The sequence below is a fragment of the Homo sapiens genome, chromosome 11 (genome assembly GCF_000001405.40).
Source record: "Homo sapiens chromosome 11, GRCh38.p14 Primary Assembly".
NCBI classification, from domain to species: Eukaryota; Metazoa; Chordata; class Mammalia; order Primates; family Hominidae; genus Homo; species Homo sapiens.
The window spans coordinates 119,798,673-119,823,551 of NC_000011.10; the positions used below are offsets into that span (position 1 = coordinate 119,798,673).

Below are 24,879 nucleotides of genomic sequence, written 5' to 3' on the forward strand. Positions count from 1 at the left end.
TTAACCCCCAGATCCATGGCCATCCTCTGTCCCTGGTCTCTGCCCCAGGGAGCTGATCTGCTAGGACTGAGTCCACCAGACCCTGTGTCTCTGGATTCCCACTGGGTTCTGCCAATGGGAAGCCCCAGCAGGGGATCCAAAGGTTGGAGGAGAAGTCAAAGCATTTCTTCCCCCATATCCCTCTCCTGTGGTCACCTCAGGCTGGCCAGGTCCATTGACTGGAGGTCAGTGCTACTCACGTGGTGGCCTCTCTTTCTGGGTTCTGGTAACCACTCCCTTCCTTCGGACCTTGAGGTGTTAACAGCCCTGCTTCTGCCTACACCCTGCCAACACATTTATAAAATGTCGTGTATTAAACTCTTCCTGATTGTGAGCCATTGATATCCCTCGGAGACTGACTGACATTGGGTCGCCCAATGTCATCAGCTATTTGAATTCAAGTATGTAGGTTTTGTATCCTGTGTTTTTTGAACTCCCCGGCATTACCCACTGCTCCTGGGACCTCTCACAGTCCCATCTTCCGCTAAGGCCCAGGTGAGCCACACTCTCTCCCTGAAGCTTTCCCAAGTCCCCATCCTCCTGCCTCGTCCTTGTCCAAACCATCCTCTCCCGTCCCTCTTTCCCTCTGTACTCTGTTCATATCTCTATCTATGGGTGTGGGTGCCTGCCAGATGCCTGTCTAATCTTCCCCAGGTGCAGGGGCCATGAGTCATTCCATCTGTCTCTCCAGTGCCCAGCACCATTTCCCTCAGCCTCTCAGTGCCCAGTCTAGGAGCTGGCACATAGTAGATGCTCAATCTACCATGAGCATCTATTCATAGTAGATGAGTTGGCTGAATTCAATAATAGAACCTAGAGTCACTCTCTGTGATGGGGCCACAGGAGCCTCTGCATTAGTGGTGGTCTCTGCCCAGAACACCTTTCCTTCCTGTGGCTGCCCAGGGAACCCCTCCTCATCCTTCAAAACTCAGCTCAAGCAATCCCTCCTCTGGGAAGTCTTTCCTCACTCAGAGGTCTGGCACCAGTGGTGCATTGTATGGTTCTCCAGCTACTCTTGCCTGGCTCTCTCCTGTGTGTCCAGGCACCCCAAGAGCAGGCTAACTCACATCAGAGCTTCACACGGCACTGACGTGAGTTAGCCCTGCTCAATTCATGTCACCGCTTCTTTGCTAGGGGAGCGGTGTGGCTCGTGGAAAAGTGGCATGTGGATCTGGCCACAACTCTGACCAGAAGTCTGACCTCGCCTGACCTTTCTGAGCCTCAGTTTGCAGGTATTGCCTAACACTGTGCTTGGTGCATGAGGGTGATCAGTGGATGGTCACACAATGAACAGCTGTGGCCATTTCTTTTACTTAAAAAGATCTCCTTGTCAGGGTATATGGCAACCCCTAATGTATCCATCTGTGGTAGCTCCTGCTTGAATGCTGGGCTCACTGGGAAGTGGTCTGCCATGATAGTGTGGCCTTGGAGAGCAGCCAGCATTTCCCCTAAGAGCAGGAGACACTGCTCTTGTATCCAAAAAGGAAGGTCTGGGACAGATAATTGGAACAAGGAAGTCCCACTTGATGAGTAAGACTGACAGCTTGGCCTGCCTCTGCAGGTGCTTGGGTATCTGGAAGGTGTTCCTTGATGGCAGGGGTGGAGCTGGCGCCTGCCTTGTGAATGGCCCTAAGAGCCACCACTAATTGAGCGTGTCATGTGTGAGCCCTGTGCTTGGGGTTTAGCTCTCATGGCACTGTTATGAGTAAGTATTTTTGTCTCCACTTTCCAGAGGAGGAACTGCATTTTAGAGTGATGAAGTAGCTTACTGAGAGCCAGGGTCCAAATTCCAGCCTGGCTCTAATGCTTATGACCACAGCTGAAGTGGAAACAGAGGAGACCAGAGGGGGAGACCCTGTAGGCACCCCCAGCCCCGACAATGAGCCACTGTGGTTTGTAAATCCAATCACCTGGCTACCTGTGGTTCAGTTGTGAGTTTGTCTATGGGCCCCTGTGTGGCTGAGCTATAGGGACCCAATGGGAGGCTCATGTGGCTGGGCGTGGGCCAGAGTTACAGTGAAGCAGGCCCAGCATGAAGCCTGAGTGTGGGTCAGCTACAGACCCCAAGGGAAATGTGAGACTGGGGCACAGAGCTGTGATCTCTTCTCCCCCCAGGGCCAGGTGGCACAGGGCTAGTGGCCCCGGCGCCCATGTGGTCCTTCTTTCCTCACAATGCACAGCCTCGTGCAGGGCTGGGCTGGAAAGGGAAGACCCTCAGAGCATGTGGGCTCAGTGTGGAGCTGTAGACCTGACCTGAAATGTTCTAATCACAGAAAAACCACACCTTGGACCCCACCAGCCCTCCCGGCCCCCTGCCCTGGTAGCACTAGAGAAATGCCAACACATGCCCGCATGAAGTACAATGAGGGCAAATGGCCTGTTCTTTGCTCCCAGATCCATGTCAAACTATACAATTATAAACCAAACGAAAGTACATTTCTAAATGATGTGCTATTTTAGTTCTTCTGTTCCACATTGAGCTCCAAGTTGGTTCTGGAGGAGGGAGGAGTAATGAAGAAGTCCAGGGCTGGGGAGGCAGAGGCTGGGGCTGTGCCTTGGGTTCCCATCCACGTGCTCCCCTAAGACCCTGCAAAAGCACCTTGGGCAGCACAGAAGCATCTCCCTCTCTCCTGGGTAGCCCAAGGGAGAGGCTCTGCATCCCATGGGTAATGCAGTATCGACAACTTGCTTCTCTCTTCTCAACAACCAGCTCAGTGCATAACCGATCAATCTGCAATCACAGCTGCTTTCCAGCCTTAACACCATCGCCAGCACTCAAGGGCTGGTGTGAGGATGGTGGCGCCTGTTTTCCCACCTGCCTTCCACGACGAGAGCTAAAAGTGGGAGAAGGTGGAGCTGGGAGCAGTTGAGCTATCCAGGGGTGCTCCAGATCCACTGGGTAAGAATCTCAGTAGGGGCACCCGGGTGTTTGAATGGTTCACAAAGCTTCTGGGTGATTCTAATGAAATGCATGGGTATGACAGGTGGGGAAATTGAGGTTCTGAGAGAAGCAAACTGCCAAAGCCCCTGAGCTCAGTGGTGGGCCATTACATGAGTGATGGGGATTAGGTGGATTCCTGGAGGAAGGGTACTTGAGCAGGGATTGCAGGTAGGGAGAGGGGAGGCTTGCAGAGGGAGAGGGCAGGGTGTTCCTGCAGGGAGAAGGTCCGGAGTGAAGGCTTTGAAGTGGAACTGAGCACATTTAATTCTCTTCTGGAGAGGAACTGAATCCATGGAGAGAAAGATGCCCCAGTACCATCCTTGGTTTGTGCTCCAGAGAGGAGCAGAGAGGCTGAGGGAAGCTGCCACTCTGTGTTATGCCAAGTTCAGGAGGGCTTCCTGGAGGAGGAGGAGGAGGAGGAGGAGGAGGAGGAGGAGGAGGAGGAGGAGGGTAGATTTCAGGGGCTGGATGAATGGCAGACAAGGTGCAGAGCAGCAGGCAGATGGGAAGCAGCAGTTTAGTCTAAGGAGAGGCCACTGGGGGTTGGGTTTGGCATAAAAGCATCAGGAGTCAGCAGATATTCCCAGGAGTTCTGGTTCTGCCATCGTCAGCTACTTAATCATACCATGCCTCAGTTTCCCTATTTATAAAATGGGGATAAAAATACCAGTTCTCTGCCAGGCGTGGTGGCTCATGCCTGTAATCCCAGCACTTTGGGAGCCTGAGGCAGGCAGAATGTCTGAGGTCAGGAGTTTGAGACCAGCCTGGCCAACATGGTGAAACCCCATCTCTACTAAAAATACAAAAATTAGCCTGGTGTGGTGGGTGGTGTCTGTAGTCCCAGCTACTTGGGAGGCTGAGGCCAAAGAACCGGTTGAACCCGGGAGGCAGAGGTTGTAGCGAGCCAAGATGGCGCCATTGCACTCCAGCCTAGGCGACAGAGGGAGACTCCATCTCAAAAAACAAAAACAACAGCAACAAAAAAACCAAAAACCAGTTCTCTGTCAGGGTGAGTGTGAAGAGAAAATGAGACAGTGTAGGTGAAACTGCTCTTGAACTGGCAATTGTCATGTAAACATAAGGGGCTTGGGTCCGGAGTCCCACAGATAAGGATTTGAATCCCGGTCCTGCCTCTTCCTAGCTGTACAACCTGCAGACAAGTTACTGAAGTGTTGTCATCTGTAGCATGAGGATAATGAGCCTCTGCATCACAAGATAAATATGTGTGTTCAGTGAGAGAAAGTGTCCCTGGCACTTAGCAGCTCAATTCACGTCGCTGCTCCTTTGCTAGGGGAGCAGTGTGACTGGTGGAAAAGTGGCATGTGGACCTGGACACAACCCTGACCAGCAGCATGACCTCGCTTGACTTCTCTGAGCCTCAGTTTCTGTGTGTGGAAAATTGGAGTGCTAATGAGAACCTCAATGGATTGCTGTGAGAATTTAAAACCCTGAGCCATCCTAGCCTGCTGGAGGTGTTTAATAAATGATAGGGGCAGCTATCAGCCCATATGGCCAGATACAGGTAGTGATGGATCAATGGACCATGGAGCAAAGGAGCAAGAGACGCGGGATTAGAAGTGGGTACACCTCTGACCACCAGGGGCTGACCCTGGCCTGCCCCTACTCCCACCCTAGAGAGCAGCCCAGGGTACACTCCGGTCTGGACCAAGGCCCTGGGCCCAGCCCCGAGGCCAGTTTCTGGCCTCCCCACCTGGCACTGATGGATGCCCAGGCGGGTGACTGCAAGGGCTGCAGCCAGGATCAATACTCTAATCAACACCACATGGACCCTGCCAGTGTTTTTCCCTCCACCCCAAACTAGAGGGTAGGGACAGGTGCAGGGAGCTGCTGAGAGGAGAGATGAGCCCCAATGCCGATTTCTTCACTCAGTGAATAATGGAATCAGTGGGCGAGCAGGAGGAATGGGCTGGGGAGGACACAGGCAGGGTTGCTGAGGAGCCTCTCCAGTGGCAGATGGGAGCCTGAGGTGCCCCCCCGACCCTGAATGCTGCCCAGTCCTGAGGAAGAGGCATCTGATAAGAGCACAGGCTTAGATGGGGGACGATGACTGCTTCTCAGACCTTCTGCCAACAGCAAGTCTCCGCTGCATGCCCTGCCCCTTGGCTCTGATAGCTCAGTGTCCTCGTCCTGTCACCTTCCTCCTTCAAAGTCTTGCCCCAGACCTTATATCCAGGGCTCCCATGCAGACTCCAGAAACACCTTTCCTTCCCTGTAGCCCTGCAGCATGAGGGGTAGGTGGGCTGGCCCTGGGCCGTGGCTGGGGGCTTCTGTTTGAGTTTGCTTCTGTATGGGGTTCCAGTTCTTCCTCCACCCAAGGTCGAGAGCCTTCTGTCTTGGAGCTGACTGCTCTGTTTCCGGCCTTGCCAAGTTGGTGTCTAGGTCCTGCTGGCACACCTGCAGCCATTGCTCCATCTTCCTGCTGGCTTGCTTGCCAGGTGCCAAATGTCACTCTTCCAAGTGGCCACCACAGTGCTGTGTGCCCAAGGAAGAGCCACGGCCCCTTCCACTTTTCCTTAGCAGGTGCAAGGAGAGGTGGAAGGGGCCTTGGCTGCCCTCCTGCCCTGCCCCATGACCTCTTTGGAGGCAGCCTCTATTGCTAACTGGGCTCTGTATACACTCTACCACATCCCCAAAAGGAGGTCTGGGCATCTCCCTCCCCAAGCTGTCCCTGGTGCTGAGAGGTTCTCAGGCTGGGAATCCTGCCCTGCAGGAGTCACACCACAGGAAAGGCCTGGTCCTAGTTATGGCTCTACCACGGTTAAGCTGCGTGACCTCGGCTAAGTCACTTTATCTCACTGAGCCTCACATCCTAGATATACATGGGAAGGAACCCTCTCTGCTCTCCTGGCCCCACAGGGTTTCTAAGGGCAGAAAATGTGATGTTTCCTAATGGCCTGCAAAGACACAGCCAGGCAGTGGGGACTGGGCTCTAGCTCTGGCTGCTGACTCCAACCTCTTGATAGCAACCCACCAAACCCCATGGCCTCTTCACGTGGAAATATAGGAGTAAGAGACTGGAAGGATATGGGGAGACTTTGGGAGAGGTCAGGAGATCAGGAGTACCCTTGAATCGGGACTCCAGGAACCAGACTTCATCTTCTTTTGCCATCTGTCATCCGGTTCTTGCACACCAATTCCAGGTGTCCATGGAGGCCTGTGTGGTGCTGAGGTCAGGACTCAGGGGTAAGGGAAGTGTGGCCACAGAGCCAGGCTAGACAGGGAGGTGTGTCAGCGGCTCTCATGGGCTGCCCGGCTCAAAACAGCTCCTCACTCGGCAGTAAAGGCCACTCCTGGCCAACCTCCTTTACTTCTCTCCCCACTTACCTAGACTGTCATAGCCAGGAGAGGCCCCTTAGAGAACTTACAGGTAAGATTGCTTAAGCCCAGAGAGGGGAAGGGACCAGCTCAATGTCACACAGCAAGTGGATCCCAGGACCCTGACTCCAGGGCCATTACTCTTTATAGTAGACTTGTGGTTTGCAAACTGGGTTTCTGGGGGCCCCAAGGCTCTAGGGATGCCGTACGTGGGAGGGTAATCGGGGCTTGAGTGATTAGGGCTTTGTTCCCTCCACCGCATCTCCATCAGCCAGAGCTGCTCTCTCCTCTTCAATCAGTATTTCACTTCCAGGGAAAATGTAGGAAAAACAGAATTGTGTTGCAGAAAAACAGTGGGAAAATGGCTGTGTTGTACCCTACCACATCCCCCCGATTGACACCCAGTGCCGTCTCTGGAGCTCCCAACCTTACCTGACTCGGCCCTTCCCCCATCAACTGTCCCTGGCAGCCTGTCCTCCTCTGCTTTGAATGGTTCTGAGCTCTTCTTCCAGGCCACATTTCTGTCTATGCCTCTGTCTAAAATCAAAGTCAACCTTCTAACTAACCAACGCTAATGACTAATCTCTGCTGAAGAGCTCGCAGGCGAAGGCCTTCTTAGGTATCGATTGTCTTTTAACAGTGACCTTCTGGAGATAGTGCCTACATTTGTTTTAAAGGCCTGGGGGAAGCCAGCTGGGGAGATACTTCTGGACAAGAGGACTTTTGGGGTTTCTTCCCCCTACACTGTGAACCCCAATGCCTGCTGCCGTCACTGAGCCTCGGTGCCGTGAGGAGAGGGGTAGGGTGGTGGGTAGGATAGTGAGAGGGGCCCAGGCCTCGGGGCCCACTGCCTGGCTTCTCAGCCTGGCTCACTCTGATCTTCAGCAAGTGCTATGCCTTAATTCTCTACTTGGAAATGGGCCTGATTATAGCACCGCATCCACCTTCTAGGGTGGGCTTGAGGATCAATGATGTCATTCATGCGAAGTGCAGAGAACAACGCTCAGCAGATTTCGTGCCCAGCTGTGTTGGCTGTGATTGGTGGGGTGGGAGCAGAGGCAGGTGATTGACTCTCAGCATCCCCCCATTTCACAGATGGAGGAAAGGAGGCTCAGAGCAGGTCTGTAAACATTCCCTGGGGCCAACCCTCCAATCGCCACCGGGTCCCACCTCTCTGAGCCATCTCTAAAGGTGCCACAGGGCTGCCTGAGTCCAGCCTGTTCCAATGTCGGACTCACACCCAGGCTTCCCTGCAGAAAGCATCCGCTGTCTCCCCAGGTGTGCCCACTCTTCCTAGGCAGATGACACCCTCCCCAGTTCCCTCTCCTGTCTCTTCTCTAAGCCCTCTTCTTCTGGAACTTTGTTGCTGAGACGCTGCATCCCTCCATCTGTTCCGTTCCTCCTCATTTTGGCTAGAGGGCCTGACCTAGTTTAGGGGTGGCTGGTTAGGGAAGGCTGTGTGTGTGTGTGCACACTCATGCTTATGTGAAAGTGGCAGTGCACAGACAGGAGCAGGAGTGTGTGTAGATGTGTGTGTGTGTGTAAGTGTGTGTGCACATGGATGCCTTTCTGGGAGTGTGTATAACAGGGAACACATAGTGGGCTGTAAACAGTACCAGACCTGGAGGCAGAGCTGGGGCATCTTTGCCAGGCTCTGCTGATTACTAGCCATGTGCCTTTAAACTAGCACAGAATCTGGCAGGACTAGGCGCTCAGTGAGTGCCTCCTGCAGAGCCAAATGTGCTCCCAGTGTGGGCTCATGAGTGCAGTGTCCTGGGCAGGCCAGGGCGGGGCTCTTTTCTCCTCCCAGGGCAAAGTGTCCTTGTCAGCCTGGCTGTCTGCATGGGCTGCTCTCTGTGACAGTGGGAGTGGGCACCTGAAGCTTTCCTGACCAGTGCCCAGTGTGTGGACTTGTCCTGGACATGGAAGTGCCCTTCTGCCTGCCTCTGGTACCCTCTGTGGGAGCCACGGTGGAAATGGCTCAGGCCTCGGGCTCTTACGGGGCTGGAGACTTCCAAAGCCCCACACTGAGCAGCTGGGGGAGCCTGAAGTTGCCTAACTTCTCTGGGCCTTACCCTCCTCTCTAGCAAAAGGAGGCTCATGCTCTCTGTCATGATGGTCTCTTGAGGTTTTTAAGAGGATGCAATATAAAGAAAAAGGCCTTAATAAGTGGGGACTGTTCATTCATGTGATCTGTCATAGACCTGATGTGCTGCTTCCATGAGATGATGCATGTCAGCTCCTTGCACAGCGCATGACATGCAGCAGGAGCACCACAAAAGCAACAGCTTCTAGTAACTACATGGCCAGCTCTCCTCCTGGGGAGGGGGGCGCCACCCACCATGCGGCTGAACTTGGCTGACTGCTCTGTAGCCCATTAGCCATGCCCAGGAGCTATCTGGGGTGTTTTGTCTTCTAGGGTCCCTTCGTCCCAAGCAAATCGGACCCTGATTAACTTCCCATCAGGAGTGAGGTCAGCCTGTCTTTGGGACAAACTTGTCCCCAGTACTGTCTGGGGCATTGGTGGGGCTGGGCACCTGGGCTGGGGGAGGAACCATGTGGCATTTGGCTTTGGGGGATTAAAGTCAGCCTTTGGCCTTCACCTGCCACCTGGTGTGACAGAGGAAACTGGGTTTTGGAGGCCAAGGGGCTTGGTGGGAAGCACGTGCTGCTGTTGGCTCCTGGCTGGGGGTGCTGGTCTGGAAGGGAAGAGCAGCTTGGCCTCAGGAAGCCTTGTCTTTTTTCCATCCTAGAGTGGGGAGCTGGAGCCCGAGGTTGCGGGAGTCTGTGAGTCAGGAGACCTGAACTCCATCACTGACACACACCGGTGTCCACAGGCAAGGATGAGGTTAACTGGGCACCAGTTTCCCCACCTGTGGAAGGGGGTGAGCCCCAGCATTCTTGTTAGGCTCCTCAAGGGCTGAGAAGATATCAGGCACAGCAGACTCCTCTCCAAATGGCAGGTGCAACGGCCCTGGTCATCCTCTGGGCAGTGTTCCAGTCTCTTGCCTTGACATCCATATCCCCTGTGGTGCCTTCCACCCTCCTTCCCTTGTCCCATCCTGATGAGGGTCCTGGGCCACCAGCCTGTGGCAGGGAGTGGCAATAGGTGCAGACCCTCTCGGCACTCCCTGTGGCCACTGCCAGCCCTCCCCAGATAACCCATTTCTGCTCCATTAGGCCATCCTGTGACATGTGTGCGAGGGTTCCTGGTGGGAGCAGGAGCCCTTACCACAGAAAACATGCACAAAAGGAAACACTCAGTTTCCGCCTAGCCCAGGTAATGGCCGTTATGTTCTGTATTATCAGCCATCAGAGCACGGGGCTGGGATGGAGCAAGAGCCCGTTCCTCTCACGGCCTGTGGATAAACAACCCGGCTTGTGGCAAATAAAATGGGAAAGTTGAAATATTGAAATACAGTTGCCATTTCGTTCAAGTTGGATATTAATAGCTGCAGGGACAGGCTCATAAAGAAGGGGCGGGGGAGGAGAAGGAAGAAAGGGAACTGTGAACACTGTTAACATCCAATTTCCTCAGAGGATTGGAACCCTTTGAGGCTCTGGTCTCAGGAGCCGGCAGGCGGGGCGAGGCGTTGCTGTCAGAAGGTGCTGACATGGCAGCTTCCTTTTCCAGGAGGCAGCTCCTACTCATGGAGTGAGTGGAGTGAGGATGCTGCTGGGACAGGGAGGCCTGGGCATCATGGGGGCACCTAAACCCTCCCTGGCACCTCACAGTGCCTGGACATGTGTCCCTGGCACCAGCCACTGCTCCATGACATGCTGATGGCACATTGCTCCCTGACCATCCCACAGATACTCCTGGCCACAGGCATGACCACACTTGTGTAGAACGATGTCACCTGCCCATGTCCTCTTTAGCAGGCTGGTGTGCTCCTCCGCAGCTTCCCCTTGTGCAGAGACCTGTGCTAGCCTGGGAGGTTACCTCCAAACCCTCCTCACCGCAGCCATCACCCAACGACTGGCCAACTCGAGGCTACAAAGGGCTGAGCCCCTTGCTGGAGAGGGGATAACTTTCTCAGCTGATTAATGCCCCAGAGTGACACAGGCATCAGGCTAAGGGCTGACTGCCCTGAGCCTCCATATGCTGCTTCCCTCACTCCTTTATAGGTTTTGCTGAAGAGAGCTCCTTCAAGAAGCCACACGCCCCCAAATCTCTGCCTCAAGTGCTGCTTCTGAGGAGCCCAGCCCTGAGAGCAGCTGGGTGGCCTGGGGCAAGCCACTCCACCCTCTGAGCCTCAGTGCCTTCATCTGTGAAACGGGAAATAACACCAGATCATGGGATTGCTGAGACCATCCAAGGAGACGTTGTCAGCAAACTTCTTTGCCCTCTGTTAGGGACTTGGATGAGTGTCCCCTCGCTGCTGCAACAAACTACCACAAACTTAGTGGCTTAAACAATGCACATTTATGATCTTCTAGTTCTGGGAGTCAGAAGTCCAAATGGGCCTCGCTGGGCTCAAACAAACGTGTTGGCGGGGCTGCATTCCTTCCGGAGGCTCTGAAGGGGAGTCTGTTTCTTGCCTTTGCCAGCTTCCAGAGTCTGCGTTCCTTGGCCCTGTGGCCTCTTCCTCCCTCTTCAAAGCCTGTGAAGTCCGCCCCAGGCTGCATCACTTTGATTCTGACCCCCTACCCTTTCCTTCACTTATTAGGGCCCTTGTGACTACCCTGGGTCCACCTGGCTAATCCAGGATAATCTCCTCATCTCAAGATCCTTAACTTAATCATATCTGCAAAGTCGATTTTGCTGTGGAAAGTCACATATTCCCAGGCTCTGGGGAACAGGAGGTGGATGCTTTGGGAGGGACTTTCTTCTGCCTACCACAGAATGCAGTAAGCCCAGGTCAATGTCTATTTATTTCCTCTCCTCAGGCATGCTATCGCACCCCTTTGAGACTATTTCTACCTCTTTAAAGACCATTGTGAGGATTGCTGTGTATAATGGGTGTGAGGGGATTTGCAAATGGGGCTATGGAAGGAGAGAGTCTTCCAGCTTCTCAATCCCCCCATAGGGCTTCCTCTACTGATTCTGCACCCAGCTGTGCCCTCCTCTCTCCTGAAGCTCTTCTCCTTGCTGTCCTGTGACCAACGTTTCCTGGAAATGCCTTTGTAGGAGAAGCAGCTTGATCTGCTCTTGGCAATGGGGTCAAGAAGTCAGGGCTTCCAGGCCTGATTGTGGAGAGGACTGAGGGGTCCAAGCCCATTTCTCACCCACCGCTTGCCCAGATCTTGTCCGCCTGGTGCTACATTTTAGGAAGGGATGGGCATCAGAATGGAGAGGAAGGAATTGCTGCAGAATAACTGGGTTCTGTGGGATAAGGAAGCACTCGGGACTGAGTTGCTGGTCTTGGCAGGATCAGAAATTTGGCCTGTGGCAGCCAGACTTCTGGTATCTTCTTTGTTTAATCTCTATAAAGTTCCATATAAATGTGCAGCCTGTGTTCATTGTGCTGATGGGAAGAAAAGGAAGGGGACTGGGTTTGGGAACACGTGGGGCCAGAGAGACGGGTGGCAAGGGAAGGGTCCAGGGGAGTGGGACAGCAGAATTACAAGTGGGGTGAGCTGGGCAGGGTGTCCCCTCTTCCAGACAGTCGTGCCCTGTCTGGGTGAGCCTCCCCTACTTGTGTCAGCCTATCGTGGTGATCTGGGCAGGCCTCTGCACGCCCTGTTGGATGGGGAGTCCCCGGAGAACAACGGCGCTGTCCTATTCCTCCTGCGTCTCAGCACCCAGCATGGGCCAGGCACAGCGGGGTGCTCAGTATCCACTATGAGGAGCACTGAACCCATGAGGAAGTGAGGGGCTGTCCATGCCTTCACCGTACCTGCTGCCCTGGTGGGTCCGTCATGGCCAAGTCTCTGTAACTCCCTGGGGACAGAGCTCAGCCTACTCTAGGGCCAGTCATATACTTTTTCTAAAAAGCTTCTTGGAACTTTCCATTTGTCTTGAAAAGCACAGCGCGAGTACTGGCCAGGGAGATGGGATATTTAAAGTCAAGACTGTACTCTCAGAATCCTCTGACAGACCTTGTGTGAGTCACTTCCTCTTTCTGGACTTTATTTTCATCATCAATTAAATGACACTTTGGTCTGAATCAGTGGTTCTCAAATTGTAGCTAGCTTCAGAATCACCTGGAGGGCTTGTTAACCCAAAGACTACTGGGGCCCACCCAGAGTGTCTGACTCAATAGGTCAAGGATGTGCATTTCTATTAAGGCTCCCAGTGATGCTGATGCTGCTTGTCCAGGACCACACTGAGGATCATTGGTTTTAAGTGCATCAGGTGTACCTGAGAAGTTTGCTGAGAAAACCTTGATTCCCAGGCTCCACCCCTAATGACTTGGACTCCATTCTTTTGTGGGTAAATCTGCATCTTCTTAACGAACTCCCTGGGTAATTCTGACGTGAAACACCATTTGGGAACACCAGGCTGCATGCTCTCCAAAGTTACTCCTGTTTTTTCTTTTGGTTGTTTTTGTAAAACAGTTTTATTGAGGCATAATTGACATAGTGCACATGGCACATACTCAGTGTGTTCAATTGGATAGGTTTTGACTTATGGATACTGTTGTGAAGTGTCAGCACAACTAAGATACTGAACACATCCATCACTCCCCAAAAGTTTCTTCATGCCCCTTGGCTATCTTTCCTGTCTGCTCCTCCCCTCTCTAAAGTTTTTAACCACATGTGGTTCTAAATTGGGCTGATGATTTCCATTCTGAAGGTAGGAGTGAGGGTATGAATGGGGAGGCTTCCCTTCTCAGGCCCTGTGCACAGCTTGGAAGCCTCTCCATAGGGAGAGGGTGGTGGTGGGTTTGGGGAAGGAGGCCTGGAGAAGATGCTTGATTGGCAAGGCTGGGAGTTTGGTCCAGTGATCAAGCTGTGGAGGACAATGAAGGCGAGAATTACCTTATATTGAGAAAGGGGCCACTGTCCCCAGGTGAAGGTGAGGAAAGGGAGGGAGTGGTGCTGAGCTTCAATGGGAGCAGAGAAAAGGGGCCCAGGAAGGGGAGGAGGCACAGTGAGGAGAGGGAGGTGGTGACAGGGTCCAGGCAAGAACAGGCCCAGTAGACTAGAAAGTAAAATTATCCTGGCAAGGGTGGGGACTCTCAGCTTTGCTTCCTTCCATTCAGGCAAATTAAAAAACATATATGAAGTACCTACAAGGTGCCAGGCACTGGGCTAAGCCCTGGGGAATGCAGTCTCCTATAGGAGACAATATAGATATGGACACTGTCAATCAATGCCGTAATTGCCTTGGTAGGAATAGGCACAGAAGAGCTGGGGCACTGCTGGGCTATGTACCCACAGCCTGGAAGTTCTGCAAAGATGTCCTTGTCATGAGTTTTGTGCAGGTATGAATATCCAATCTGAAGATGTTGAGAGATAGCTCCTCCATTGCAATAACCACCGCCCCAGAGTCTGATGGTGATGGGAAGGCAGTTTGAACCCTCGGGGGTTGAGACCAAAACCATATTATCTGGTGGAGGTGATGAGTAGCACAACTATTCAGGAGAGGTGGAGATACTTGGGCATCATCATACAACCAGGAGACTAGGGACATCCCTGGGAAGAAATGGAGAAAGACTCCTAGAGGGGATGAAACCTCCTGAATGAAGATCCTTCCTTCAGGTCCTCCCTGCATGGGATTTGACAATCCTCTGCATCATGCTTAGTGTGTTTGTGTGTGTGTGTACATCCATGTGCATGTGTGTGTATGCGTGTGTGTATGTGTGATAAACCATATTTCAATCTTTCAGACATTCATGTTTCGTTCAATGAGTCAGCTAATTCATTTACCTGTTGCAAGCGAAACACTCTGCTGGGTCGGGTACGATAGTGAACAAGACAGGCAAGTTCCTTACCCATGGTATTCCTACTATTCTAGTAGGAACCTGACTCTTAAAAACTCTCTTTAAAGAGCCAAAGAAAGGTGCCTCTGGTGGACAGATTTCGGGCCCCACATTATATACCCTCAGGTAGAGGCAAAGGGAGAATTTGAAACGATGGTTGTACTACAATATTCCCTCACTCCCATGCTGTCACTACATACACATGAATTGCATTGTTATTAAAAATGAAATGGGTTGCCAATGTTTCTCCAAGTGTGACCCAGAACAAGGAGACTCACTTGGTAGCTTGTTCCAAAGGTAGGTTTTGGGACAATTCACCTCTACTTACCCCACCTTCACTCATTGATTTGGGATTTTGAGAGGGGCCATAAGTGATTCTAGAATCTGAACTTAACAAGTCTCCAGATTATTCTTGTTAATGGAGGCTTTTAATTGAAGGCCGTGTACATGAAGGTGCATGTTTGTAAATGTGCAGCTGAATGGATTTTTGCAAGGTGAGCACACCTGGAAAATCAGCATCTGATCTACAAACAGAAACATCTCTAGACCTCAGAAATTCCCTTTTGCCTTCTTCTAGCCTGTCTACCTCCCTCCACCAAGGACAACCGCCATTATGACTTCTAACTTCATTTTATCCCCCTTTTTAAAAACTTTATATAAATGAAACTATACACTATGTAGTCACTTGTGTCTGGCAAAATTTCCCTAAACACTGTTTTTGAGATTTATTTATATTGCATGTACTTGTAGTTTGCGTGTTCTCATTGATGTGTAGTATTCCTTTGTATGACTATACACAATTTATTTTTCCATTCTTCTGTAGATGGGTATTTGGACTGTTTCCAGTTGGGCTATTATGAATAGTGCTGCCATGAACATTCTTGTATAATATTTTGGTGCTCATATGCACTCAGTTCTGCCGGAGTGGGGTTGCTAGGTCGAGCATATGCTTGTGTTCAGCTTTAAAGATGTTGTCTGTGGTAGCAGCCTCTACGATGGCCCCCAGTGCGCCTCTCCTTTTTGTCTTCACATCTTTGTGTAATCTCCTCCCCTCAAGTGTAGGCTGAACTTACTGACTCATCTCTGACAATAGAATATGGCAGAAATAATGGGACGTCACTTCTGAAATTAGTTAGGAAAACGCTGTGGCTTCTGTCTTGTGTGCTGTCTCTTGCTTGCCCACTCTGAAGAAAGCCAGCTCCTATAGTGTGAGCTGCCCCATGTAGAGAGAGGCCCACATAGTAAGGAACTGAGGGAGACTTCCAGCTAACAGCTTAAGAGGAACTGAATCCTCCCACCAACTATGTGAGTGAACTTAGAAGCTGACCTTTTCCCAGTCGTGCCTTCAGATAAGACCACAGTTCTGGCTCACAGTTTTGACAGCAACCTCATGAGAAACTTCGAACCAGAGGTACCATGCTTGGCCTGCTGCATTCCTCACCCACAGCAACTGTGAGATAATAGATGTTTGTCGTTTTGAGCCATGTGGTTTTGGGGTCATTTGGTACATGGCAATAGATAACTAATATACAGCAAAACTATCTTTTTTTTTTTTCTGAGATGGGGTCTCACGTCGCCCAGGCTGGAGTGCAGTGGTGCAATCACAGCCCACTGCAGCCTTGACCTCCTGGGCTCAAGTGATCCTCCCACCTCAGCCTCCTGAGTAGCTGAGACCACAGGTGTGTGCACCACTGTGCCTGACTATTTCTTTTTTTTTTTTTTTATACTTTAAGTTCTAGGGTACATGTGCACAATATGCAGGTAAAACTGGCTAGCCATATGCAGAAAGCTGAAACTGGATCCCTTCGTTACACCTTATATAAAAATTAATTCAAGATGGATTAAAGACTTAAATGTTAGACCTAAAACCATAAAAACCCTAGAAGAAAATCTAGGCAATACCATTCAGGACATAGGCATGGGCAAGAACTTCATGTATTTTTGTTTTATGTTTAGTAGAGACAGGGTTTCACTATGTTGCCTAGGCTGATCTCAAACTCTGGGCTCAAGCAATCCTCTTGCCTTGGCCTTCCAAAGTGCTGTGATTACAAGTGTGAACCACTGTGTCCAGCCCATAGACTCTTTTCTGAATGGCTTGTGCTAATTTATAGCCCCACCAGAAATGACAAGTTCCAATTTCTCTATTTACTTGACCACACATGGAATTGCCTGCCTTTTAAATTTTAACCATTATGATGGGTGTATGGCAATATTGTGTCTTGGTTTTCATTTGCCTTTCTTTGATGGCTAATGAAGTTGAGCACCTTGTGTTAATTAGCCATTCAAATATCCTCTTTGGTGAAGTGCTCCTTCAAGTCTTTTGCCCATTTTTTTTTTAGTGGATAATTTATCTTTTTCTTGTTTGTAGGAATTCTTTTTATATTCTGATTATGAATTCCTTGTTGGACATCTGTATTGCAAATATTTTATTCCATTTTTTGCTCTCTGGAGCAAATACTCCAGAGAGTATTTGCTGTTTCACTCTCTATTTTTAAAGTTATTTTGGAATATTTTCAAATTCACTGACAAGTTACGAGAATAAAAGTAGTACAAGAGTTCTATAATAGCCTTAACTCAGATTCACCTTTTGTTACCATTTTACACCATTTGCTTTATTATTTGTACCCTCTTTCCATACCTGTCTCTCTATACACACACACACAAACACACACACACACACACTCACGTTTTTCTGAACCATTGCAGAGTAAGTTGCATACATGGCAACTCTTTACTCCCAAATAGGTCAGCATGTAAATATACATTTCTTAGGAATATTTTCTTATGTGACCATACTACAGTTATCAGCTTCAGTCAATTTCACATTGATACAATACTTTGATCTGATCTTCTGTGTTCCAATTTTTTTCAGTTGATCTAATAATGTACTTTATCATTTTCCCTTCCAATACAGAATCCTATCTAGGATCAGGTATTGGACTTAGTTGTCATGCCTCCTTAGTCTCCTTTAATTGGGAACACATCATAGCCTTTCTTTGTCTTTTATGACATTGACATTTTGAAGAATGCAGTCTCTCCCCCACTTCCCTTTTAAATAGAACATTCCTCTTTTTGTTTGTCTGATATTTTATTATGATTAGAGGTAATACTGCATTGCTGAATGGAATAATATATAAATGATATGTCCTTCTTAGGGTCGGACACCTGGAGCCACACAATGTCCCTCATGACTGATGTTAATTTTAATCAGCCTGTCAAGGTGGTGTCGTTTTTCCATTGTATAGTTACAATTTTTTTCCCTTGAAACTAATAAGCAACCAGTGGGGATGTGCAGGTTGAGGCCATGCAAATATTCTGCTTCTCATCAAAATGTCCTCTGGATTTAGCATCCACTGATGATTCTTGCCTGAACCGATCTTTACTGCGATCGTTCCAGAACGATGATTTTCCAACTCTGGCTCTCCTCCCACGGTTGCCAGTCGGCCATCAGCTTTACACTGGGAGTAGGAATCTTCTCTTTGAAGATTTCTTAATTTTAACATAATCTAACTTATTGGCTTTTTTCTTTCTAGTTAATGCTTTTTAGATCCTGTTCAAATTTTTTTTTCCCTACCACCACCTCTTGAAAACATTCCGTTTCCTTCTAAAAGCTTCATTATTAGGCCTTTGACACTTAAGTCTGTGATCCATCTGGGATTTTTTGTTGTTGTTGATGATGTGGGATAGGGGATGAAGATAAACATCTTTCCATGTGGAAACTCAATTTACCTAAGTGTCTTTATTAACAATTACTATTTATACAAGAAATGGATGAATGCCTTCCCCCTTTTAAAAATTCAAAGAATTACAGAGAATGCTAAAAATCCCTTTGACCCTCTCTGCCCATCTTGATCATTTCCCCTTCCCTGCAGGGGGTAACTCAGAAGTAACCGCTGTTATCAGCTTTTTACATCCTTTCAGACTTTCTTTAAGCATTTGCAGACATGCATGCACTGTGTTCTGTTTCTCCCCATCCCTCACAGTGTATGAGTCATTCTGCAACTTGCTTTTCCACCCAGCAATATGACTTGGTGGACTTTTTGTGTCGGTACATATAGACCTCCATGTAAATGGTTGCACTGGATTACATGTTATGCATGTCATATGTGATAAACTGGGTCAGACCACATGTTTGCAGCTTGCTTAGTCATTTGTGGATTTTAAAGTTGGTTCTAATTTTCTGTTTTGCTACTCTGATGATTTTTTATGCACACTGTATGAACCACTTGCTGAGTTGCACCGTTATGAAAATTGGGGTGAGTGAGGGATGAGAACTTGAGTCTGGAAGGCACTGGGCTCTTCCTAGATTAAGGACAAACAAAACGGCTCAAAGAGTCTGGGTGACTTACCCAGGCTCACACAGTTAATTAGTGGCAAAGCCGATCACGACACGTGCCTTGGGATGCCAAGTCCAGGCCTCTGCTCTCAACACAACCCTGCCCATGGCCCAACTGACCTCCCCAGCCACCCAAATTCTGAAGCTTTCCTGTCCTCTTCTGGCTTCTCCTCCCCGTGGAGATGGGCCTCCGATATGGGATACCAGGGGTGTCTGTTCACTGCTCCTTCCTTACCGCCAGGGACAGGGCACTTACTCACCTCCCAAGGCCCTGTGGTCTCCTCTCAAGAAGGCAAGATGGCACTTCAGTTCCAGAGCCTGCTCCTAAGCCTCCCCTCCTCTCAACCTCCATTTATCTAAAACTCGTCCAGCTTCCAAGATCCCCCTGTAGGACAGACAAGAACAAATTTGGAAGCCAAAGAAGCTGCAGCCCTTAAATCACATGTTGGGCCAAATAATCAAAGAATCTTCCCCATATTTGTCAACGGTGGTGCTGGGCCTAGCTGCTCAGTAATGACTCTCACTTGATGACAGATCTCAAGAAAATGCGTTTTGGAAGCAATCAGTATATGCTGAATAGGACCCTATTTTACAAGCATTTTATCTACTCTTAAGGACATAGGAGATGAGGAAAACAGATAAGCCTCTCTATTAATATTGATTAGACCATTATATATCTGAGAAAGAGATTTTAGTCAGAGACGATTGCATCTCACCAGAGCAGCCTGTCTTCTTGAATCGAATCGTTTAATTTGCCACTCAGAGCTTGGGGGTGTTGGGAGGGGGACACATGCAGGCTTTGCTCCACCACGCTGGGCAGAAGAGGCAAGAGAGGGATGCCGAATGACAGGGCATTTATGTGCTTTCTCGCCAGCCCCACAAGGAGCTCAATAAGAGGAAGCTAAAAAAGGAAACAGCAGCAGGAAGGATTGAGGTTAGACTTCAGGAATAAATGCTTACTTCTAGAAGAGTTCAGAAGCTGAGGCCCTTTTCTGGAACAGCTTTAAGAATGAGGTCATGAACAGGCCTTTTTATTATTGATCACGAAAGAAGACTGGTAAACATTAAAAATGTTCAACCTCACTAATAGTCAAAATAATGCAAATCTAAATAGTCAGCTATTATTTTTGCCATCAGATTAGCAAAGATTGCTTTTAAAGCATCATGCCTGATGCTGGTGAGGATTTAGTGAAACTGCATTCTCATGCATTCCTGGCGGAAGGGTAGGTGAGTGCAACCTTTTTAGAAGACAATTGGATGATGTTTTCTGAGAACCTACTTTTTGCCAAGCACTAGGTTAGAACCTGGGAGGATAGCATCGACTGAAACTAAGTCCTTGCCCCCACAGATTGTACCATTTATCAGGGGAAACTTGAAATTAACACATCAAAATGCAACTAAATATTTACAAAATGTAAAGAGCCTTAAGAAGGAGCTGGGCATCGTGGCTCACGCCTGTAATCCCAGCACTTTGGGAGGTCAAGGCAGGCAGATTGTCTGATGTCAGAAGTTCGAGACCAGCCTGGCCAGTGTGGTGAAACTCTGTCTCTATTGGAAATACAAAAATTAGCTGGGCCTAGTGGCACGCAACTGTAGTCCCAGCCACTCAGGAGGTTGAGGCAGGAAAATCGCTTGAACCTGGGAGGTGGAGGTTGTGCCACTGCACTCCATCCTAAGTGACAGAGCAAGACTCCATCTCAAAAAAAAAAAATGCCTTAAACATTCACTCTCTCTCTCTCTCACACACACACACACACACACACACACACACACACACACACACACGCGGAGCTGAGGGGAGAGGGTGAGTGAAGGGAGGTCAGCGAAGGCTTTTCCAAGGAGGCAGCTTTGAGCTGAGTCACAAATACTAGAGAAGAAACAAGCCACAGGAAGAGAATAAGATGTCACTGGCAGATGGAACAGCATGTGCAAAGGTCCTGCAGTGGCAGAGATTTTTGGTGAGCTGAGAAGAGGCCAGAGAGGCAGAGCGGGTGAGGGGAGCATGACGGGAAGCAGTAGGAGAAATTGGCAGGTGGGCGATGCATTGCAAATGCTGACTTGCCTCGGGTGTTGGGGGCCCTCCTGGGTTTTCAGCAGGGGCAGCACACACAATCTGCCCTTACTGCTTTTTTTTTTGAAAACTGCCGCCGTTTTGTAAAATTATTATTTATTGTTATTTTAAAAACATATAACATGAGATCTACCCTCTTTAAAAATTTTAAGTATACAGTATAGTATTGTTAACTGCACAATGTTGTACAGTAGATCTCTAGAACCTTTAAATCTTTTTTTAAAAATTATTATTTTTTTAAGTTCCAGAGTACATGCACAGGATGTGCAGGTTCATGACATAGGTAAACGTGTGCCATGGTGGTTTGCTGCACCTATCAACCCATCACTTAGGTATTAAGCCCCACATGCATTAGCTCTTTTCCCTAATGCTCTCCCCTGACCCCACTCTTTTTTTTTTTTGAGACAGAGTCTCACTGTGTCGCCCAGGTGTGCAGTGGTGCAATCTCCGCTTACTGTAACCTCTGCTTTCTGTGCTCAAGCAATCCTCATACCTCAGCCTCCCAAGTAGCTGGGACTATAGGTGTGTGCCACCATGCTTGGCTAGTTTTTGTATTTTTTGTAGAGACAGGGTTTTGCCATGTTGCTCAGTCTAGTCTTGAACTTCCTGAGCTCAAGGAGTCCTCTTGCCATGACTTGCCAGGGGCGGTTAATAGAGGAAGCAGGAAGGACAGGTGGGTGCCTATGGCAGCAGGGAAGGTGAGAGGTGACAGGGGCTGGGATGAGGGCTTTGGCAAGGGACGTGCATCAAACACCTTACAAAAGTCAGGATGAGCAAGGCCACTCCAGGAGATAATCAAATGCATGCAGCAGTTTACATACACACGGAATTCATTACGGGCTTAGTTATAAAGACAAAACCCTGGAAACAACATAAATGTTCACCACGAGAGGGCTGGTTAAATGATGGCGCCCACAGACCAGGGGTGCCATGTAGTTATGCGAATTGTTGTTTTAGAAGAATATTGAACAACACAGGAAGATGTTTACATTGTATCTTAAGTGAAAAAAATCAGGACACAAAACTCAATGTATATTATGATGCTGGTTGAAAAAAGTGGTGTTTTTCTATCTAAAATAAACACGGAAATGTCAGCGGCAACTCTCTGGGTGAACTGTGGGTTATTTGAATTTTTTCCTACATTTCAGTGTTTCTCAAATGTCTAACAAGCATCTACTTTTATAATTAAGAAAACAGTTATTTTTTATGCCTATCATCTCAGCTACTTGGGAGGTTGAGGTAGGAGAATCACTTGAACCTGGGAAGCAGAGGTTACAGTGAGCTGAGATCACACCACTGCACTCCAGCCTGGGCGACAGAGTGAGGCTCCATCAAAAAAAAAAGCATAGTTATTTTTTAATTAATAAAGTAAATCTCTCTCAAAGAGGCAAGGGGCAGGTGTGTGAGTGAGAAAGGAAGGCATGTGGAGGAGGAAAGGGTTAGACAAAGTGAGTGTTAAATCTGCATCTCTGTGTAGACAGAGCTCCCCGTCTCAGCTTAAGACCCTCCTGCCCTTGAAGAAGCTTCCTAAAACCAGCTCAGATCTTCCTCTTCTGTTCCCCTGCCTCTTTGCATGTTTCTGGAAGCCCTCAATAGTATGAGTATTATGCACACCCTGCCTGTGGTTAGGCCACTGGGAGGCTGAAGAATGCAGATGCCTGGGCCCCGACCCTGGGGGTTCCCACCCTGGGACCACCCCCCTCCACCCCTAGTCTTCTCCATCTCACTAAGTGCTCAAACCTTTCAATAGAGGCCATTAGTGTCGCTACGGGGAGTGTGGATTCTGGAGCCAGACCCCCAGGGTTGGAATTCTGGCTCTGGCACGGCCTTGCTGGGCTCAGTGCCCTCAACTATGAAATATTTACCGTATATAATATGAGTCTAATATATATATATGTATATTATATAGCATATAATAAATAAGTATAATATATAATATTATCTATATATATTTTTTGTTTTTAGTTTTGTTAAAAAACCATTCTGACAAATCAGAAATGGGGGTTCAGGAGTGGTGGTGATGCAAAAGAAGGAAGCCATGGGGTGGGGGCTGTCAGGGGTGGGGGCACTGGTGTCTCCTTCACCCCCACCCTGATGTGTCCTCTCCTGAAGGACAGACGGTCATATTCTGCAATGTGTCCTCTACCATGTCCTTTACCATGTCTTTTCAAAGCAGGAGAAGATGTCTCTCTCATCAGGCAGATCACTACGATTGACCTCAAAGCGATCCTGCATGTCATTGAGGATCTTGGCATCATTCTCGTCAGACACAAATGTGATAGCCAAGCTCTTGGTGCCAAACCGGCTGGCTCTGGCCACCCAATGCAGGTAGGTGTCAGAATCCTCAGGCATGTCATAATTAAAAGCAATGTTCACCCGCTCAATGTCCATTCCTTGGCCAAATAGGTTGGTAGCCACAATAATTCACCATTGAAAATCTTTAAACTGCTGATACTGAGACAGCCTCTGCCCTGGGGCATCCCGCGGTGGATGGCAATGGCTGGGATGTTCTGCTCCACCCAGTAGCTGGGCTGAGGCAATGCGCCGCTGCACAGACTTCAAAAAGATCATCACCTGGTTGAACTCAAGGACATTCAGAAGGTCATAGCGCTTCCAGTTCTTCTGGTTGTCCTTCAGTTTCATGTAGTACTGCTGCAACCCATGCAGCATCAACTTCATCTCATTATCCATGAAGATCTCCACTGGATCTTGCATGAACTTGTGGCAGACTGGACGGATCTCTTTGCTCAAGGTAGCCCTGAACATCATGACCGGCTTTTCACGGTGGGGTCATGCGAAAAATTCCCTGGACATCCCGACACATGTTGAGCTGTTCAAACGTCTTATCACATTCATTTGAAATAAAGTGTTTTATGTGTTTGAGGTTGAGGCTCTTATTTCCAGCCAGGGCTAGGATACGGCCTGGAGTCCCCACGACGATATGCAGGCAGTTCTTCTTCAGCACCTCTTCATCCTTCTTGATAGACCACCAAAAAATACAGCAACCTTGACATTGGGCATATATTTAGAGAACCGACCATGGCTTGGGAAGCCAACAGCGCCTGTTCCCCAGAGTGGAGGAGCAGAAGTGGATGAAAACATGCATAACCCGTGCAGCAGCATCTGATGCACGGCCATCCCCTGTAAGTGGTAGCTGTTACTACTTTTCCGGTTACTAAGGCTGAAAACCCAAGGGTCATCCCTGATTCCCCCTCCCCTCATTCCAGCACCCTCGCTGCCATCCCATGCAGGTCCCTCCGTTTCTCAGCCTTGCACTGCCTCCCCAGCCCATGCGACTCTCCTCTCTTGCCGGCACTGCTGTCCTTGTCTCCTTTCAGTCCAGCCTCCTCTCGCCAGCCAGAGGGACTTGTGAAGATGAAAATTGAATTATGCGACTCCTCTGTTGGAGTTCTGAAGAAAGCCCAAACTTTTTGCCATGGCCTACAGCAAGGCCCTAGCGAGTCATCCTACAGGAAAGAAATAGAAATTTAAACAACAAAACAGTATTTTGCCTTCAGATTAGCAAAGATTTTTAAAAATAAAAATAAGATGCAGTGTTGGTGAGGATGTGGTAAAACTGCAGTTAGCCTGAGAACCTCCCGTTCCAGCATTTTGAGGTCAGGGAAAGATGTCTGACAACGGGACTGAGAAGGAGTTGGAGAGGGGAGAACCAGGCCAGTGGAGGTTAGGGAAGCCCAGAGGAGAGAGTGTTTCCAGAAGGAAGGGGGTTCTCTTGGGTCAAAGGCCACTGAGAGGTCAGAGAAGATAAGGACAGAGAACTGACCATGGCTTGGGCCATAGTGGTTCCAGTGGAAGGGAAGAGGGAAGCCATATTGCCACAAAGGCAGAGAGAGAACCCCACGAGTGGCGAACGCAGAGTGTGTGTGCATGCACGTATGTGTGTGCCTGTGTGTGTGCACGTGTGTGCGTGCACGTGTGTGCGTGCACATGTGTGTGCGCACGTGTGTGCACGTGTGTGCATGCACATGTGTGTGTGCACGTGTGTGTGTGCACGTGTGTGTGTGTGCATGTTGGTGGTGGCAGCTGAAGCAGTCGAGGAGATGGTAAGGAGACAGCAGCCCAAGGAGAAGTCTGGAAGGTGAGGGGAGCTCTCTGGGAGGTGCAGGGAGAGGGTGGGTTGACTGAGAGGGTCCTGAGAGCCTGGCTGAAGAGTGGTAGGAAGTGGGAAGGAAGGAACTTCAGGAAGCGGCAGGCTTTGCTCGGTGTCCCAAGGGGAGCCCAGCTTAAAACTCATTAGAAAAAAACAAAGGAAAGCACCTGAGTTTGA

General features: G+C 49.2%; 1 pseudogene, besides 1 other annotated feature; it reads right to left on the reverse strand.

Annotated features, from left to right (window-relative positions):
- Nucleotides 11,457–11,957: an enhancer, noted in NCBI's record as "H3K4me1 hESC enhancer chr11:119680838-119681338 (GRCh37/hg19 assembly coordinates)". NCBI's record gives its function as "activates a minimal SCP1, AML or CMV promoter by ChIP-STARR-seq in naive H9 embryonic stem cells {active_cell/tissue: H9 hESC(naive)}" and the evidence as "EXISTENCE:reporter gene assay evidence [ECO:0000049][PMID:30033119]".
- Nucleotides 22,540–23,648, reverse strand: LOC390255 (DExD-box helicase 39B pseudogene; annotated as a pseudogene).